This window comes from Homo sapiens, chromosome 3, assembly GCF_000001405.40.
Source record: "Homo sapiens chromosome 3, GRCh38.p14 Primary Assembly".
Taxonomy (NCBI): domain Eukaryota; kingdom Metazoa; phylum Chordata; class Mammalia; order Primates; family Hominidae; genus Homo; species Homo sapiens.
The window spans coordinates 52566362-52587201 of record NC_000003.12 but is presented as its reverse complement, the minus strand read 5'-3'; the positions used below and the strand labels follow the sequence as shown (position 1 = coordinate 52587201).

The following is a 20840-nucleotide window of genomic DNA, read 5'->3' as shown; positions in this document are numbered from 1 at the left end:
GAAATTAACCTGAACTTCGTTGTGAAAGACCACTTGCTGCTTACACTATTTGGCTATAATGCAGTTAGGTTAAGTTTTTAATATTGCCAGGCTAATTTTTAAGTATGATGTTTTTTTAAGGATAATCATTACAAATTTTCAGTTTGTTTTTTAGGTAATAATGTGTGCTTTTGTGTGTCTGTCTGATACACACACACAAGCCCTCTTCAAAGCTTTAAGGAACATTATAGCTATATGAAATGTTCATATGTTTTCAAAGAGCAATTGTAAGCTAAATGGAATTATTTGTTTTTATAATTTAAAGGGTGTGTATATAATAAGTCCATTCCGTAGCCAAAGAAATACTTCTAAATCTCTGGTCATTTATTATTTTTTGTTAACTGCCAGAAAGTCTGTAATCAGTTCAGCTTTTGTTTGGTTGGTTGGTTATTTGCTTTTTTTTTTTTTTTTTTTGATTGATTTTCAGAAAATTCACCTAACTAGTTTTATTCTTATGCCCTCCCCACCCCCCAGGAATACTTTAAGTTATGCCCAGAAAACTTCCGAGATGAGGATGTTTTTGTCTGTGAATCACGGTATTCTGCCAAAACCAAATCTTTTAAGAAAATTAAACTGTGGACCATGCCCATCAGCTCAGTCAGGTTTGTCCCTCGGGATGTGCCTCTGCCTGTGGTTCGCGTGGCCTCTGTATTTGCAAATGCAGATAAAGGTGATGATGAGAAGAATACAGACAACTCAGAGGACAGTCGAGCTGAAGACAATTTTAACTTGGAAAAGGTATGCAGATAATAGCCACACAGAAAAAATTTTACATCTCAAAACACCTATTCCAGAAAATAAATGAATAAAGTATTCAAACTTAGAAAAAGAGCAACAACACAAAACCTTAGCCAAACAGGAAGAAGGAAACTATAACAGAAAGAAATTTACACTTTCAAAACTGTACATTATAATTTAAAAGTAAATCAGGCCAAGTGCATTGGTTCACGCCTGTAATCCCAGCATTTTGGGAGGCCAAGGCGGGCAGATCACGAGATCAGGAGTTCGAGACCAGCCTGACCAACATGGTGAAACCTCATCTCTACTAAAAATACAAAAATTAGCTGGGTGTGGTGGCGCGTGCCTGTAATTCCAGCTACCCAGGAGGCTGAGGCAGGAGAATGGCGTGAACCTGGGAGGCGGAGGCTGCAGTGAGCTGAGACCACGCCACTCTACTCCAGCCTGGGCAACAGAGTGAGTCTCTGTCTCAAAAAAACAAAAAATTTTTTTAAAGTAAATCTAAGAGCTAATTATTTGACAAGTCCAATTAGATAAACTGCCAACTATCTAATAATGGGAAAAGAAAGGGGTTAAACTTCGACACAAAATGTGGAAGAAGGCCAGGCGCGGTGGCTCACACCTGTAATCCCAGCACTTTGGGAGGCCAAGATGGGTGGATTACCTGAGGTCAGGAGTTCGAGACCAGCCTGGCCAACGTGGTGAAACCCTGTCTCTACTAAAAATACAAAAAATTAGCTGGGTGAGGTGGTGGGTGCCTGTAATCCCAACGGGAGGCTGAGGCAGGAGAATCGCTTGAACCCAGGAGGCAGAGGTTGCAGTGAGCCGAGATCGTGCTATTGCAGTCCAGCCTGGGCAACAAGAGCGAAACTCTGTCTCAAAAAATAAATAAATAAATAAATGTGGAAGAAATGTAAAGACTGTATATTTCTGCTAATAAATTTGAAAACCTAAATAAAATGGCTAATTGTCTAGGATATTACAAATTACCAAAATGGAATCAAGAAGAGATATAATACAGAATGTACAACAACATGAAGAAATTTTTTAAAGTATCATAGAACTGACCCCAAAGAGTACTGAGGTCAGACAGTTCCATAGGTGACTTTTTCTTTAAGGGACCTATGATTATTATACTGTTGAAGCTGTTTCAGAGCAGGGAGAACAAGAAATTTCCAGTTTGTTTTGCAAAGCCAAGATAATCTTGATTTCACAACCTGAAAAATAAAAACAAAAAACTGCAACTCAGTCTTATTCATGTATATTGATGCAAAAATTACTTGGGGGAAAAAGTAAGTGAAATCAAATTACTTCTTTGAGAACAACATGACCAAGAAGTGGGAATTCATTCTAAGAAAGCAAGAATTGTTCAAAGTTAGGGAGATCTTTAAATTTCATTCATTATTCCATTAGATCAAAGGAAAGATTATTTGGTAGAGAACCCATCTTGATTTTTTTTAAGACTTTCAATAGGTATTTCTTCTAGTGTAATTTTTTTTTAAATTCATATTTGTGTCTCAAGCCTGAAGCCTATAAAACAAATTCCTTTTTAAATTTACACACTGGACAAAGGGGCTTACTGTTCTAGTGTTACTTAATATTTTTTGAAATTAGCCAATGTAGTTAGATAAACAAAAGCAGTAAAAATATTGACAATAAAGAAGCAAGATGGCAGGCGTGTTGGCTCATACCTGTAATCCTAGAACTTTGGGAGGCCAGGGCAGGTGGATCGCTTGAGTCCAGGATTTTGAGACTAGCCTGGGAATCATGGTGAAACCCCATCTCTACAAAAAGTACAAAAATTAGCCAGGCATGGTAGCACATGCCTGTAGACCCAACCACTTGGATGGCTGAGATGGGGGTATCCCATGAGCCCAGGAGGTAGAGGCTGCAGTAAATTGTGATTGCACCACTGCACTCTAGCCTGGTCAACAGAGCAAGACCGTCTCAAAAAAAAAAAAAAAAAAAAAAAAAGCAAGAATACTTTTCTGCAGATAATTGGGGGAAATTAACTGAAAAGGTTGGAAACAGAAAATTTAGCAAATAGAAATTTCAAAATCCATATGTAAATGAATAGTCTTCATATATAAACTAGTAAGACTTTTGAAAGTAAAGTGAAAGTGTTGAATACACTTTAGCAACTGTTAGAAAAATCTTATGGGAGAAAATATCCATTTCACACTAACAACAAATTAAGAAATAACCTTAACAAGGAATATATAGAACCTCTAGGAAAAAAATTTACTGAAGGACATAAAAGACTTGCATAGATTGTTTTTGAAACTTGACAAAATTATTCTAGCATTCTTATTAAGAATAAATATGTGACAGTCACCAGAAAACAAGGGGGAAAAAGGGGTATGAAAGAGAGCTTTGCCCTTTGATAGTGAACTGAGGGATTTTTTTAAATTTAAAAATTAGAACTTTGCCCTGCCAGATGTATTACATTTTATAAAACTACAGTTAAAAAACAAAATTAAAACCCAGTACAGTGTCACACGCCTGTAATCCCAGCATTTTGGGATGCCAAGACAAGTGGATCAGTTGAAGCCAGGAGTTCCAGACCACCCTGGGCAACATAGCAAGACCTTGTCTCTACAGAAGATTTTTAGAATTTTATTTAATTTAGAAAAACAGTAATTTACCTATAATTTTTTTTCAATAATAAACTTGGAATAGACGAGGATTTTCTGTTCATTATATAAAACCATTGATCATTTTATTGATTTATGATTGAAAATACAAGGTTAATAAAACAGTCTAGGGTTACTGTTTCTAATATACAAAGAGCTCTTTAGGGTCTAGGGGGGAAAGTAGGACTACAAAAATGAGCAGAGGCCCAAATAGATAATTTACGGAAAGAAGGCAGCAAAAAACATGTATTAGTTAACCTAATAGTTTGTATAATACCTAACAGGATGGCAAGAGTTGAAAAGACTGATAATATGTGTAGCCTGGTATAGGATGAGACCACACACACTTTTCTCCTATTGGTGTTTTTTTTTTTGTTTTTTTTTAGATGGAGTCTCACTGTTGCCCAGGCTGAAGTGCGGTAGCGTGATCTCAGCTCACTGTAACGTCCGCCTTCCTGGGTTCAAGTGATTCTGCTGCCTCACCCTCCTGAGTGGCTGGGATTGCAGGTGTGCACCACCGCACCTAGCTAATTTTTGTATTTTTAGTAGAGACAGGGTTTCACCATGTTGGCCAGGCTGGTCACAAACTCCTGACCTCTGATGATCCGCCTGCCTCGGCCTCCCAAAGTGCTAGTATTACAGGTGTGAGCCACCGCCCCCGCCCCTATTAGTTTTTTTTTTTTTTTTTTTTTTTTGAGATGGAGTCTCACTCTGTCCCCAAGGCTGGAGTGCATTGGCGTGATCTCAGCTCACTGCAAGCTCCATCTTCGGGGTTCACACCATTCTCCTGCCTCAGCCTCCTGAGTAGCTGGGACTACAGGCGCTCACCACCACGCCCGTCTAATTTTTTGTATTTTTAGTAGAGACGGGGTTTCATCGTGTTAGCCAGGATGGTCTCGATCTCCTGACCTCATGATCCGCCCGCCTCGGCCTCCCAAAGTACTGGGATTACAGGCGTGAGCCACCGTGCCCGGCCCGGTGTCTTTGACCCAGCAGTTTGATGGCAAAGAATATGCTCCAATGGTAGTACTCAAACAGGTGCTCCGAAAGATTCTACGTAAGAGGCGACATCATGGGGCTGGGAAAGAATGTGATTTTTTATATTTTATCAGTATGGGAATGTGTTGGAATCATAAAATAATTTCTTTTAAAAGCAGAATTATCCGGTCGGGTGCAGTGGCTCACACCTGTAATCCCAGCACTTTGGGAGGCTGAGGAGGTTGGCGTGGTGGCAGGTGCCTATAATCCCAGTTACTTGGGAGGCTGAGGCAGGAGAATCACTTGAACCCAGTAGGTGGAGGCTGCAGTGAGCTGAGATCACGCCACTGCATTCCAGCCTAGGCAACAGAGCGAGACTCCGTCTGAAAAAAAAAAAAAAAAGAATTATCAATGGAAGTCAGCATGATAATTAACTTAGATTTCTTACCTGGTATTTAGAAGTCTCTAGGAACTCTCTGTATATGAGTTACTTGGTCTTTTTTGGTCTCATATCTTTATTTCAATATTATATGACCAAGACAGGTCATTCAGGAGCTTTTTTTTTTTTTTTTGAAACGGAGTCTCGCTCTGTCGCCCAGGCTGGAGTGCAGTGGCGCAATCTCAGCTCACTGCAGCCTCCACTTCCCAGGTTCAAGTGATTCTCCTGTCTTAGCCTCCTGAGTAGCTGGGACTACAGGCGTGTGCCACCATGCCCGGCTATTTTTGTATTTTTAGTAGAGACGGATTTCTACCATATTGGTCAAGCTGGTCTTGAACTCCTGACCTCAGGTGACCCACCCACCTCACCTTCCCAAAGTGCTGGGATTACAGGTGAGAGCCACTACTCCCGACCGGAACTTTTTTAAAGAATAACTTTAGGCCGTGCTCGGTGGCTCATGCCTGTAATCCCATCACTTTGGGAGGCTGAGGCGGGCAGATCACAAGGTCAGGAGATCACGACCATCCAGGCCAACATGGTGAAACCCTGTCTCTACTAAAAATACAAAAATTAGCCAGGCGTGGTGGCACGTGCCTGTAATCTCAGCTTCTCGGGAGGTTGAGGCAGGAAAATCACTTGAACCCAGGAGGGAGAGGTTGCAGTGAGCCGGGATTGCGCCACTGCACTCCAGCCTGGAGACAGAGGGAGACTCCGTATCAAAAAAAAAAAAGAATTACTTTAGAATAGAACCCATTCCTTAAAGGAAAAGGTATTATTAATCTCATGGGTTGTTTTATTCACAGCTTCCATTCTTTCAGATGTCCCTTGCCTGTCATGTATATGGAACCTCTCTGATTCTTTTTTTTTTTTTTTTGAGACAGAGTCTGCCCAGGTTGGAGTATAGCGGCACAATCTCGGCTCACTGCAACCTCCGCCTCATGAGTTCAAGCAATTCTTGTGTCTCAGTTTCCCAAGTTCCTGGGACTACAGGCGCGCACCATCATGCCTGGCTAATTTTTGTATCTTTAATAGAGATGGGGTTTTACCATGTTGGCCAGTCTGGTCTCGAACTCCTGGCCTCAAGTGATCCGCCTGCCTTGGCCTTCCAAAGTGCTGGGATTACAGGCGTAAGCCACCACTCCCGGCCTTCCCTCATTCTTAATCATTTTCCAAGAATACCATTTCAGTATCACATTTGAAGTCATAAAGATCAGAATGTTAAATTATTTGGACATTGTGAAGGAGGAATTTTTTTAAGTGTGAAGTTTGAAGTATTCTCAGGAAGATGCTATAGAAAACTTGGAGGCTTTGGAGTTTCCTCAGCTTATATATGTTTTGGAGTTAATATATTTATAACATCTAGCCTTGTGCCGATTATCAGCTAGGTTCTCAGTAAATGATGGTTCTTCTTTACCATCTTTACATTAGTGAGAAGTATCTTCTTTTTGCTTTTTCTTTTTTAGTCAGGACTATAAAACAACAGTAATAATGATGTCTGTTAAGTGGTTTTTATGAGTTAGGCATTTTTCTATGTACTTGAGCATGGATTATGTCACTTAAGCTTCGTAAACAACCCTATCTGGTGGCCACACTATCATTATCTTCATTTCACAAATGAGGAAACTAAGGCATAAGAGGTCAAATAATTTGCCCAAAGCCATAGCAGTCATTAGGTGACAGATGCTGTAATTTATTAAAAAACAGAGCATGTTTGGCTGGGCGCAGTGGCTCACGCCTGTAATCCCCGCACTTTGGGAGGCCAAGGCGGGTGGATCACGAAGTCAGGAGATCAAGACCATCCTGGCTAACACAGTGAAACCCCGTCTCTACTAAAAATACAAAAAAAAAATTAGCTGGGCATGGTAGCGGGTGCCTGTAGTCCCAGCTACTCCAGAGGCTGAGGCAGGAGAATGGCGTGAACCCGGGAGGCGGAGCTTGCAGTGAGCCAATATCGCGCCACTGCACTCCAGCCTGGGCGACAGAGGGAGACTATGTCTCAAAAAAACAACAACAACAACAAAAAAAGCATGTTTATATCACAGAGGCTATGCTATTCCTTTCCATGTTGGAATAAATCAAAATAGTAAAAATTTTAGATCTATCAGTTGTTTTTTGTGGTTTGTTTTCTTTTGTTTGAGATAGGGTCTCATTCTGTTTCCCAGGCTGGAGTGCAGTGGCACGATCTCAGCTCACTGCAAACTCCAATTGCCAGGCCCAAGCAATCTTCCTACCTCAGCCTCCCAAGTAGCTGTGAATACAGGCGCATGTCACCAAAGACAGCTAATTTTTAAATTTTTTTGGAAATGAGATCTCACTGTATTGCCCAGGCTGGTCTTGAACTCCTGGCTCAAGCAGTCCTCCCACCTTGTCCTCCCAGTGTGCTGGGGTTATGACATAAGCCACTGTGCCTGGCCTAAATCTTATCAATTGTTAATGTTAAGACATTAAGGGAGCCCAGTAAATGTGATAGAGAGGAAGCTTGTATAGAATTTGCCCCTTACACTATAGTAATGCATGAATGAGTCTGCTTTTAAATACCGATAAATCCTCTCCAGTTTTTTTGTTTGTTTCTAAAGGCAGTGGGAATTGAGAGCAGGAGGGAGACAGGATAAAAGCATCTTGGGATAATATTGTTTTATGAAAATTAACTAGAAATTTCAAATAGATACTTGATAAGTCTTCGTTTATTTCAATAATCTAATTGTTTTGTTTCCTAGCCTCCTTCAGAGTTTCTCTTTATGTTTTTTTGTTTGTTTGTTTTAATTTACTTTTTTCTTGAGACAGGGTCTTGCTCTGTCGCCCAGGCTGGAGTACAATGGCGTGATCCTAGCTCACTGTAGCCTCGACCTCCTGAGCTCGAGTGATCTACCCACCTCAGTCTCTTTGAGTAGCTGGGACTACAGGCATGCGCTACCATGCCCAACTAATTTTTTATTTTAATTTCTTTCTTCAGTTGAGACAAGGTCTCACTATGTTGCCCAAGCTGGTCTCAAACTCTTGGGCTCAAGCGATCGTCCTGCCTTGGCCTCCCAAAATGCTGGGATTACGTGAGCCACGTAACCAATGGTGGTTTTTTCTTTTAAGTTAATGTGAAAGAAAAGTCTGCTTTCGTTTCTTACCTTCTCTATTCCTTGATTATCAACTACCTTTCTTCAGCCAGTTTTCTTTACAACAGGAAAAAGAAGATGTCCCTGTGGAAATGTCCAATGGTGAACCAGGTTGCCACTACTTTGAGCAGCTCCATTACAATGACATGTGGCTGAAGGTTGGCGACTGTGTCTTCATCAAGTCCCATGGCCTGGTGCGTCCTCGTGTGGGCAGGTGAGTGTCATTGAATTAGGGAAGATGAGGTTGAATCTGAGAAATTTGGAACCAGTAGAAATTAGTCACCCTTCGGATGAAGACAAAAGTCCTTCCCCTGGCAGTTTCTCCAGCTTCTTCTCACACCATGTTCCCCTCCAACCACACTTTCTTCCTTAAATTATCCCTTTGGGCTCTTTTGTTTTCTTCCACTATTTACAGAACTTTCAGCTCAGAAATCTCCCTGCCTACTTCATACAGTAAACTCCTTTAGCATAAATTTGAAGTGACACTTTCTTAAAAGGAAGTCTTTCCTGTCCACTGCAGAATGGGTTAAGTCTCCCTGTTGCACACTCTCAAAGCACCACATATTTCCTTCTCCTTAGCGTATATATCACATATCGGTGTTCATTGTGTTATTGTCAGGTTTCACCCTTGTATTCCCTGCTCAAATCATAGTGCATGAAACATAGTAGGGCCTCAGATATTTGATGAACAAGTAAATGACAAAAGGATGACAGTATGGTTGAATGGCAAACACAGCAGAGTCTGGTATAGGGTTGGGTAGGAGAGGATAGTGGCTAAGAACAGTAGTTCATTCCCTGAGTCCCAGCTCTGTTAGTTGTAGGTCCTTAGGTGAATGATTTAGCCCTCTAGGCTTCAGTTTATATCTGTTCATCATTCAGTAAGCATTTATTATACCTACTATTTACCAGGCTCTGTGGATACATTAGTGAATAAAACAGACAAATATTCTTTTTCCTGGGGAGCTTTTTTCTAGTGTGAAGACAAACAACATCTTGAATAAGTAAAGTGTATAGTATGTTAGGTCATGATACGTGCCGTAGAAAAAATAGAGGAGAACAAGGGGAGAAGGGGGTCCCATGGTCAGAGCAGGGAGAATGGTTTATATAGGCCTCACTGAGAAGTCGGCAGCTGAACCAACACTTGAAGAAACTGAGAAAGTGAATAATGTGAATATCCAGGGAGAAAGGATTCCAGGCAGTGGGAACAGCCAGTATAAACACCTGAGGAGAAACATGCCAGGCCTGTTTGTTAGTAGGAGAGTGAGCCATTAATGAGTTAGTAAGAGATAAGTGCCAGGGGTAGGGTGCATATCACATAGGGCCTCAGAGACCATTATAGGGATTTGGGTTTTTACTGAGTTAATGGAGTGCCATCGATTGTTTCAAGCACAGAGTGACATTTGGTTTAGATCTTAATAGGATTGCTCTGCCTATTGGTTGTTGAGAATAGACTGTAAAAAGTCAAGGCAGAAGCAAGGAGATCCACCGCCTAGGATGCTGTTGCAATAATCCAGGCAAGAACAATCATGCTTCAGACCAGGGTGATTGCAAAAGATAGTATTTTGAAGGTCAAATTAATAGTATTCTTGATAAATGGAGTGTGGGGTCTGAGAAAGATAAAAAAGTCAAGGATGACTCCTGTGTGTAAGCCTGAGGAACAGGAAGGTTGCAGTTACCATTAACTGAAATAAGTATGATACTTCAGGTCAGGAATCACGATAATATGGAGCAATAATAATGTCAGCTTTATGGGTTAGTTGTCAAGAATAATGGCTTTCATCAAATTCTGAAGGGGTGAAGGGGCACTAGATTTTTTTTTTTTTTTTTTTTTTTTTTTGAGACATTGTCTGGTTCTGTCACCTAGGCTGGAATGCAGTGGCATGATCTTGGCTCACTGCAACCTCCACCTCCTGGGCTCAAGCCATCTTCCCACCTCAGCCTCCCAAGTAGCTGGGACTATAGGTGCACACTGCCAGGGCTGGCTAATTTTTGTATTTTTAGTGGAGATGGGGTTTCACCATGTTGTCCAGGCTGGTCTTGAACTCCTGAGCTCACGTGATTCGCCCACCTTGGCCTCCCAAAGTGCTGGGATTACAGGCGTGAGCCCCTGGGCCCAGCCAGGGATATTAGATCTTGACCTTCAAAAAGATTATAAACCACTGTCTTAAAGGAATGTCTGCCACTCATGTGATCTGACCCCAAATATTGATGTTTTATGTCTTTGTTTGGTTCACAAGTCCAATGACAAATGCTTAGTTCTGTTTTCATCATGAACGTCTCAGGAAGAAAACCTGGTCATTAGATAAAACTATTAAGTTTTGTGCCTTGATATTAAGTTAAAAAATTTTTTTCACTTGGAAAAATAGTCAAATGTTCCTTTCTCTTTTTCTAAGTATCTTTTCATGTGTTTAATGGGGGAAAAAATTAATGAAGTTGTCTTACCAAAACAGCCAGTGAAACTCCTCTGAATGGTACACATTACTAAGTTTTTGGTTAATGCGATTTTTGTTAGATTAATCCTTCAAGAAGGAAACTATTTTAATGTAATTTATATATTTTCCTCCCCAAGAATTGAAAAAGTATGGGTTCGAGATGGAGCTGCATATTTTTATGGCCCCATCTTCATTCACCCAGAAGAAACAGAGCATGAGCCCACAAAAATGTTCTACAAAAAAGAAGTATTTCTGAGTAATCTGGAAGAAACCTGCCCCATGACATGTATTCTCGGTAGGTATTTGTGCTTTTTTATTTAATCGTGTTTATTCCATCAAAATTGATGGAATACTACTTCTGTGGGGCACTGTTCTAGGTGTTAGGTATAGAGCAGTGCCCAAATCCAAATCTCTGTTCTCTTATGTTGGGGCAGAGATTGGGGAGTCAGTCGATAAATTAAAAAATAAATATATAGAATATCAGGTGGTAATTAGGGCACAACCAAACCTTTCACCTCAGCCTTCCAAGTTGCTGGGACTATAGGCATGCACCACCGCACTGAGCTAATTTTTGAAAGATAGTTTTCCTAGATATAGAATTCTCCATTGATAGTTTTTTTTGTTCATGTCTTTCATCAGATTTGGGGAGTTTTTGGCCATTTCTTCAAATATTCTTTCTGCTCCTTTCTCTGCTTCCTTCAGGAACTCCCATTATACTTAACGTTGGTACATTTAATGGTGCCTCACAGGTCTCTCAGACTCTTCATTTTTCTTTACCTTTTTTTTCCTTTCTGCTCCTCAGACTGGATAACTTCAAATGGCCTGTCTTCAGGTGCATTCATCCTCTGCCTGCTCAAATCTTCTGTTGAACCCTTCTAATAAATTTTTCATTTCAGTTATTGTACTTTTCAGCCCCAGAATTTAGTTTTTATAATTTGTCTCTTCATTTATATTCACTATTTGCAATGACATTTTACTGGTTTCCTTTAGATCTTGGAGTATATTTAAAACAGTTGATTTAAGGCCAGGCATGGTGGCTCATGCCTGTAATCCCAGCACTTTGGGAGGCCGAGGCGGGTGGATCACCTAAGGTCGAGAGTTTGAGAACAGCCTGCCAACATAGTGAAACCTTGTCTCTGCTAAAAAAAAAAAAAAAAAAAAAATTATTTGGGCATGGTGGCACATGTCTGTAATCCTAGTTACTCTGGAGGCTGAGGCAGAGGCAGAGGCAGAGGCAGAGGCTGCAGTGAGCCAAGATCACGCCACTGCACTCTAGCCTGGATGACAGAGCAAGACTGTCTCAAAAAAAAAAAAAAAAAAAAAAAAAGACAATTGATTTAAAGTATGTGTTTAGTAAATCCAGTGTCTGGAATTTCTCAGGAACAATTTCTGTTCATTTTGTTTTTTCTTATGAATGGGCTGTGCCTTCTTGTTTCTTTGCATGCCTGATAATTTTTTGTTGAAAAGTGCTCATTTTGGGTATTATAACATGATAACTCTGGAAATCAGATTCTCCCCATCCTCAGGCTTTGTTCTTAATACTTATTATAGGTTATGGTTGTTTGTTCAGTGACTCTTCTAAACGTTTGTTTGTTTGTTTGTTTGTTTGGTTTGTTTTAAAGATTGTATTTTTGGCTGGGCACAGTGGCTCACACCTTTAATCCCAGCACTTTGGGAGGCTGACATGGGCAGGTCGCTTGAGCCCAGGAGTTCGAGACCAGCCTGGGCAAGATGGCGAAACCCTGTCTCTACAAAAAAATACAGAAATTATCCAGGTGTGGTGGTCTATATCCATGGTCCCAGCTACTCAGGAGGCTGAGGTGGTAGGATCACTTGAGCCCAGGGAGGTCGAGGCTGCAGTGAGCCATGATCATGCCACTGCACTCCAGCCTGGGCAACAGAGTGAGACCCTGTCTCAAAAAATAAAAGATTTTTGTTGTTGTTGTATATGGTTACTACAGTCTCTGTTCTATAAGCTTAGTGATCAGCCAGTGATTTGACAGAGGTTTTCGTAAATACGTGGAGCCAATAAAACCATAAAACTCCCAGTCTTCACTGCTGACTTCTCTGCGTATGGTGGAGCACACCTTCAACACTCAGCCATGCAGATTACAACTCTGCTTTGCCTTTACTTCCTACTTGTGCAGAGCTTGAAGGTCAGCCAGAAATGAGATCTTAGGGCCTTCTTAGGTCCTTTCTGAGCATGTACACTATTGTTGGCATGTGTGTGGCCTTCTAGGCTCCCAGGAATGTGTGGAAACTTTTCAAAACCCTTATTGGCCAAAGCATCTCACTCCTCATCTTTTCCTCTGAGGCCTTTTGTCATATCTACTGTTGGTCCTGACTGATACCCTTTGCCCCAGCCGGCAACAGCTGGTTCATTTGACTTTAAATGTGCTGTGATTTGAATGTTTGTGCCCCCTTCGAAATTCATGACTTAAAGTGTAATCCCTAGTGCAACAGTGTTGGGAAGTGGGGACTTTTAGGAGATGTTTAGGTCATGAGGGCTTGTCCTCGTGAATACAATATTGCTTTTATAAAAAGGGCTCATGTAAATGGGTCTGCTCTGTCTGAATGGGTTTGCTGTCTCTTACACTCTTGCCCTCTGCCTTCTGAAATATGATGACATAGCAAGAAAGCCCTTGCCAGATGCTGGCACCTTTATCTTGGACTTTCCAGCCTCCAGAACTGTGAGAAAACTGTTCTTTATAAATTACCCAGTCTGTGGTATTCTGTTATAGCAGCACAAACAAACTAAGACAAAATGTTTTTGACAAAAAAACCTAGACACTTCTCCACCAAGGGAATTCCAAGCTAAGCACAATAAAGGCAAGCACTTTGCATTAGTGTTTAGAAAGCTGCCTGACAGGTCAAAACAGATGACCACAGTTCTTGGAGCATGGAGCTGTTTTGCTTCCTCTATCACCACAATCTTACACCAGGAATAGAGGCTGCCATCTTCAAGGCTGCCACTGAGACAGAAAGTAAGGAATGGAGTGAGGGTAAGTTAAAATGCCACAGAGCTTTCCTGCCAAGTTTCAGTCACTTTTTTTCTTAATTAAGCATTTGCTTGGTTGCTGTAAACCTTTGACTATCTTACAGAATTCCAATAAAGTTTATTCTGCTTTTTTCACTGTTTCTGTGAAGTAATGGCCCTTAGAGCTCACTACTCCTCCATATTCACTGACATAACTTGGAGTAATTTCTTTCTAAAGATGCCTGTTAGAATGTGTTACATTCTGGCCGGGCATGGTGGCTCATGCCTGTAATCCCAGTACTTTGGGAGGTTGAGGCAGGCAGATCACCTGAGATTAGGAGTTAAGAGACCAGCCTGGCCAACGTGGTGAAACCCCATCTTTACTAAAAATACAAAAATTAGCCGGGCGTGGTGGTGTGCACCTGTAATCCCAGCTACTAGAGAGGCTGAGGCAAGAGAATTGTTTGAACCCGAGAGGTGGAGGTTGCAGTGAGCTGAGATCAAGCCACTGCACTCCAGCCTGTGGCTGGAGACAGAGCAAGAGACTCTATGTAACAAAAAAAAAAAAGAAAGAAAGAAAATGTGTTGCATTCTACAGTTTATCTACCAGTTTTATATCCAGGATCTCATTTAATTTTCAACATGACCCTGGAAGAAAGATGCTGATATTGTCAGAAAGGTGAAGTTACTACCCAGGGAGTGGGCCAGAACTAAAACCTAGGTTTTCCTAATTCTTCTTTAGTTAGTCTACAGCTAGCTGGCACACTTTTGAGAATTAAAGGAGGTGCCAGTAATATCAGGTAGGACAACAGGCATATAATGAAATATAAGTAACTTCATCTTGAGATAAAACCCAAAAGAAAATGCATCTAGTAATCACAAAGTGGGATTTCAGCCTAGCTTGTGGAATTCACTGTCCCCAGCCTCCAAGGAAAAAGGGTTTTGTTATATAAGCTTTAGAGAATTTATAATTTCATTGTATTAACTCTAACCACTATTAAATGTAAATCATATTTTGCACTTTTTTGTGTCTCTGAAATAGAAGTTTTGAAGATAATTAGATGAGGTGTATCATTTTTTCATCTTCTGTTACATACAAAGGAGACAATCCTGTTTTTCCAACGGTTATGTTCTTTTTTCAGTTTCGTTGAAGAATTGTTTTCATTTACTTAAACAGTAATCAAGCTGGGCACAATGGCTCACGCCTATAATCCCAGCACTTTGGGAGGCTGAGGCAGGTGGATCACTTGAGATCAGGAGTTCAAGACCAGCCTGGCCAACATGGTAAAACCCCATCTCTACTAAAAATACAAAAAAAAATTAGCCAGCTGTGGTGGTGCATTCCTGTAATCCCGGCTACTCAGAGGCTGAGGGAGGAGAATCGCTAGAACCTGTGAGGGAGAGGTTGCAGTGCGCTGAGATCACTCTACTGGATTCCAGCCTGAGTGACAGGGTGAGACTCCGTCTCAAAAAAAAAAAGAACTTAAACAGTAATCAGATGGCCACATGTGGCAGACAGTACCTCTACCCTTAACCCCTTAGGTGATAAAATTTCCAGGAACCTGGGCTCTTGAAACATGCCGATTCCTAATTTATTTGCAGGTTTTGTTCCCTTCACAGTAGATTTTTATAACGTTTCATTAATTTAAAAACTGTCCTCAGTAAGGCAAGGAAGATAAAAGATCTAAAGATTTGAAAGGAAAAACAAAAGGGCCTTTTTTTTTTTTTTCAAAAATATTAGGTATGTAGAAAATCCAAGAGATATTCAGATAAACTATTAAAATTAGTAAATGAAAATATGAAGTTTTTTTTGTTTTGTTTGAGACAAGATCTCGCTTTGTTATCCAAACTGGAGTGCAATGGTACAATCATAACTCACTGCAGCCTCCAACTCCTGGGCGCAAGCAATCCTCCCATCTCAGCCTTCCAAGAAGCTGGGACTATAGGGATGTACCACCACTCCCAGCTAATTTTTTTTTTTTTTTTTTTTTTTTTTTTTTTTGGGGAGATGAGGTATCCCTCTTGCTCAGGCTGGTCTCAAACTCCTGGCCTCAAGCATCCTCCCTGCTCAGCCTCCCCGAAAGTGCTGGGATTATAGGCATGAGCTACCTTACCTAGCCCCAATATTTCTATTTCTGTATCTGTATCCCATCAGTGAGCAATTAGAAAATTATTACCATTTGCATTCAATACCTAGGAATAAATCTTTTTTTTTTTTTTTTTTTTTTTTTTGAGATGGAGTTTCGCTCTTGTTGCCCAGGCTGGAGTGCAATGGTGCAATCTCGGTTCACCGCAACCTCCACCTCCTGGGTTCAAGCTATTCCCCTGCCTCAGCCTCCTGAGTAGCTGGGACTACAGGCATGCGCCACCATGCCAGGATAATTGTTTGTATTTTAGTAGAGACGGGGTTTCACCATGTTGGCCAGGATGGCCTTGATCTCCTGACCTCGTGATCCACCTTCCTCAGTCTCCCAAAGTGCTGGGATTACAGACGTGAGCCACCACGCCTGGCCAATCTTTTTTTTTTTTTTTTTTGGAGACAGTGTCTCGTTCTGTCGTCCAGGCTGCAGTGCAGTGGCACAATCTCGGCTCACTGCAACCTCCACCTCCTGGGTTCAAGCGATTCTCCTGCCTCAGCCTCCCGAGCAGCTGGGACCACAGGCGTGTGCCACCATGCCCAGCTAATTTTTGTATATTTAGTAGAGACAGCATTTCACCATGTTGACCAGGATGGTCTCAATCTCTTGACCTCGTGAGGCGCCTGCCTCGGCCTCCCAAAGTGCTGAGATTACAGGCATGAGCCATGGCACCCAGCCAGGAATAAATCTTTAAAAGATAGCCAACGTGGTAGCTCATGCCTGTAGTCCCAACACTTTGAGAGGCCAAGATGGGAGAGTCGCTTGACACCAGGAGTTCAAGACCAGCCTGGACAACAGAAGGAAACTCTACCAAAAAAAAAAAAAACGAAGAAACAAAGATGTGTAGGGCACCTGCACACGCATGTGCACACATGTGCGCACACACACACAACTATAAGAAAATTATTGAGAAATTGAAGACATAAGTAAATGAAAGTTATCCATCATATTTATAGCTGGAAAATTCAATATTAAAAAGATGCCAGTTCCCCCCAAATTGATCTATTGGTTCGTTCCAATTCCAATCAAAATCCAGCAGGTCTTGATAATTTTTTTATACTTTATTAAATGAAGTTTTCTAAACTTTCATCTTTTCCCTGTCTTTTGGGGGCTTGGTAGGAGCTCCAAGTCAGGACACAGAGATACCACCTCCATTCCAAAGCCACCAATCACTTTTACTCTTTGGTTGTAAGCAGAATTATTATTTTTTCCTAATGTCTATTTTTCCTTCTATAAAATATGGAAAATTGTAATTATCCCTTTTCTGAATTAAAAGGCCTTTGAATTATGTAAATAAAAGTGCTGTGTAAGTTCAAAGCAGTGATAGTAATTGTAGCTATTTTAAGCTTTGGAAATGTTTCTGACCTGTTTTTCATATACATGTTTAGTAAGTTGTTAGCTATGAACATTCCTGTTAAGGTCAAGAGCAAAATAGGGATGTTCTGGCTGGGTGCGATGGCTCATGCCTGTAATTCCAGCACTATGAGAGGCCAAGGAGGGCGGATCACCTGAGGTCAGGAATTCGAGACCAGCCTGGTCAGCATGGTGAAACTCTGTCTCTACTAAAAATACAAAAATTAGCTGATGTGGGCGTGGTGGTGGGTGCCTTTAATCCCAGCTACTGGGGAGGCTGAGGCAAAAGAATCACTTGAACTTGGGAGGTGGAGGTTGCAGTGAGCCAAGATCGAGTCACTACACTGCAGCCTAGCGACAGAGTGAGACTCCGTCTCAAACAAAAAACAAAAAAAGAAAAGAAACAAAATAGGGATGTCCTTATCACACTTATTTAACATTGTTCTAGAGGTACTAGCCAGTGGAGTTAGAAGAAACAGAAGTCTAAAATAAGAAAAGTAAGGAGGTGAAAATTCAAGAGCATCAACTAAGAAATCATGGCAAACAGTAAGAGAAGTGAGATGATTGAATATAAATAAATAACAAACCTATTATCTTAAAAGATTCAGTACTAATAAAATACCTTAGATAAACTTAACAAGATATGCCACATCTGTATGAAAAAAGTTTTAAAATGCTATTGAATGAATGCTTGAACAAATTGCAAAGCAGTACCATATGCCTAGGTAGGTTTCAATGTCATAAAGATGTCCATCCTCCCTAAATTAATCTTTAATATGATCCCATTAGATATACCAGTGGGAATTTGCTTGTGAGGAAGTTGATACTATGTGAACTCATTTTAAAAATCATATTGAAGGCCGGGCGCGGTGGCTCATGCCTGTAATCCCAGCACTTTGGGAAGCCAAGGCGGGCGGATCACGAGGTCAGGAGATCAGGACCATCCTCATTAACATGGTGAAACCCCATCTTTACTAAAAATACAAAAAGTTAGCCGAGCATGGCGGCGGGCGCCTGTAGTCCCAGCTACTTGGGAGGCTGAGGCAGGAGAAGGGGGTGAACCGGGGAGGCGGAGCTTGCAATGAACCGAGATCGCGCCACTGCACTCCATCCTGGGAAACAGAGCAAGACTCCATCTAAAAAAAAAAAAAAAATCATATTGAAAAAGAAACTTAGAATCGGGTGCAGTGGCTCACTCCTGTTATCAATCCCAGCACTTTGGGAGGCCGAGGTGGGTGGATCACTTGAGCCTAGGAGTTTGAGACCAGCCTGGGCAAGATGGCAAAACCTCATTTCTACAAAAAGTACAGAAATTAGCTGAGTGGCACTTGTCTGTAGTCCCAGCTACCCGGAGTAGGGGGCTGAGGTGTGAGGATCGCTTGAGCCCAGGAGGTTGAGGCTGCAGTGAGCAGCTGTCATCTCACCACTGCACTCCAGGCTGGGCAACAAAGTGAGACCCTGTCTCAAAAAAAGAAAAAGGAACTCAGGAAAATTCTGAAAAGTATAGTGAAAGGGGATCTATCCTTACCAGATATTAAAACATTATAGCACTACAATAATTAAAACTATATGATATATGAGTAAACAGGTTATTTGAACAAAATAGAAAGTTTAGCAAATATATGGTAAAAGTGGCATATCAGGTAAGTGGGGAAAGAAGTATTTTTCTCCAAATGGTGTTTGGAAATTCAATAACCATTTGGAAAAATAAAATTGTAGCCATATCCCACATCTTAACTTCAGGATAGATTTCCAGATGAATTATAAATTTAAATAAACATAAAATTAAACAACAAAGATACCAAAAGAAACCATGAGAAAGAAATTTTGTTAATCTCTGACATAAAAGCCAGAACTCATACAATAAAATACTGATAAATTCAGCTGTATAAAAATGGAAAATATCTATATGACCAAAACTGGCAAAAACAAAAATGACAATCTTGAGAAAATATTTGCAATGTTTATCATAGACAAAGATCTGATTTTCCTCATAGATGAAGAGCTCCTATAAAGCAATTAGATAAAGATCAACATCCAGCAGGGAAATAGGCAAAGAAAATAAAGGAGAGCAGAAATAAATTACTAGGGCCCAGTGTGATGACTCACACCTGTAATGCCAGCACTTTGGGAGGCCAAGGTGGGTGGATCACCTGAGGTCAGGAGTCGAAGACTAGCCTGGCCGACATGGTGAAACCCTGTCTGTACTAAAACTACAAAAATTAGCTGGACATGATGGTAGGCATCTATAGTCCTAGCTACCTGGGAGACTGAAGCAGGAGAATCACTTGAACCCAGGAGGCAGAGGTTGCAGTGAGCCAGAATCGCACCACTGCGCTCCAACCTGAGTGACAGAGCGAGACTCCATCTTAAAAAAAAAGAAACTACCAGTGATTCTTAAACAAATGAAAATATACCCGGCTGGGCACGGTGGTTCACACCTGTAATCCCAGCAGTTTGGGAGGCTGAGGGAGGCGGATCATCTGAGGTCAGAAGTTCGAGACCAGCCTGGCCAACATGGTGAAACCCCATTTCTACTAAAAAAAAAAAAAAAAAAAAAACACAAAAATTAGCCAGGCATGGTGGCACACGCCTGTAATCCCAGCTACTCGGGAGGCTGAGGCAGGATAATTGCTTGAACCTGGGAGGCAGAGGCTGCGGTGAGCTGAGATCAAAAAAGAAAAGAAAAGAAAATATACCCAACCTTGGCCATTAGAGAAATGCTAGTTAAAGCTACCCAGGTGCTTTTCTTCTTTTCTTTTTCATTTTTCTTTTTTTCTTTTTTCTTTTTTTTTTTTTTTTGAGATTACCTATCAAATTGTCAAAGATCCAGAAGACATTTCTCACTAGTTGACAAGAGCATGAGGAAATGGTATTTACCTACTTTGTGGGTAGTCTGTGAATTAGGACACCCTTTATGGAAGGCAGTTTGATAATACCTACAAAAATTTAAAAAGTGTATACATACCCTTTAACCCAGCTTTTATAGTTCTAGAAATTTATGCTTCAGATGTATTCACCTACGTGCAAATTGATATGTCTTAAATTATTTATTTCAGCATTATTTAGCGTCAGCAGAAGAGCAAACATTGGGAAACAACATAGATACCCATCAATAGGGAACTAGTTGAATAAACTTAGTACATTCATACAAGCCGTGACCTCCAAGACATATTATTTTGTGACAAAATTCAGATGCAAAACAGTTTTAAGTGATATGCTACCATTTATGGGAGTTTTTTATTGTTTTATATATATGTCATAGAATTCATCATTTTAACCTTTTTTTTTTTTTTTTTTGAGATGGAGTCTTTCTCTGTCACCCAGGCTGGAGTCAGTGGCACAGTCTCGGCTCCCTGCAACCTCCGCCTCCCAGGTTCAAGCAATTCTCCTGCCTCAGCCTTCTGAGTAGCTGGGATTACAGGCGCAAGCTACCACGCCTGGCTAATTTTTGTATTTTTAGTAGAGACGGGGTTTCGCCATGTTGGCCAGGCTGGTCTCAAACTCCTGACCTCAGGTGATCCGCCCACCTTGGCCTCCCAAAGTGCTAGGATTACCACGCCCAGCCTTAACCGTTTTTAAATACACAGTTCAGTGGCTTTAAGTCCATTGACAATACCGTACAGCTATCACCACTGTTCATTTCTAGAATTTTTTCATTATCCCAAATAAAAACTTTGTACCTGTTAAACAACTCTTTATTTTCCCCTTCCCCCTGGCCCTAGTAATCACTGTTCTACTTTTTTTGTTCATGAATTTTGCCTGTTCTATATACTGCATATAAGTGGAATCATACAATATTTGTCCCTTTGGATCTGGCCTATTTTACTTAGCCTAATGTTTTCAAGGCTCATCCATGTTGTATCATATATCAGAATTTTATTCCTAAGGCTGTATATTCCATTATATGTATACTACATCTGTTAATGGACATGTAGGTTGTTTTCACATTTTAGCTATTGTGAGTAAAACTGCTCTTACCAGTGGTGTACAAGTAGTTGATCCT

General features: G+C 40.9%; 1 protein-coding gene across 160 annotated transcripts in view, besides 1 other annotated feature; it reads left to right on the top strand.

Moving 5' to 3' along the window:
- The window catches only part of PBRM1 (polybromo 1), a 140547-nt gene that overhangs the window by 98712 nt on the left and 20995 nt on the right, over positions 1-20840 (top strand). For 159 of the 160 annotated variants that reach the window (NR_175959.1, NR_174502.1, NM_001405585.1 and 156 more), the window contains 3 exons: positions 514-777; positions 8003-8148; positions 10504-10661. Coding sequence is in view for 158 of the 160 variants with exons in the window: in NM_001405585.1 (NP_001392514.1) it covers positions 514-777; positions 8003-8148; positions 10504-10661 (568 nt within the window). In the remaining 2 variants the exon portion in view is untranslated. Of the gene's footprint in view, positions 1-513; positions 2022-8002; positions 8149-10503; positions 10662-20840 lie in introns of those variants that run through there. The other variant, NM_001405612.1, reaches the window with a different exon arrangement.
- Positions 14702-14902: a silencer, noted in NCBI's record as "peak4655 fragment used in MPRA reporter construct". NCBI's record gives its function as "represses an SCP1 promoter by STARR-seq MPRAs in K562 erythroleukemia cells {active_cell/tissue: K562}" and the evidence as "EXISTENCE:reporter gene assay evidence [ECO:0000049][PMID:32103011]".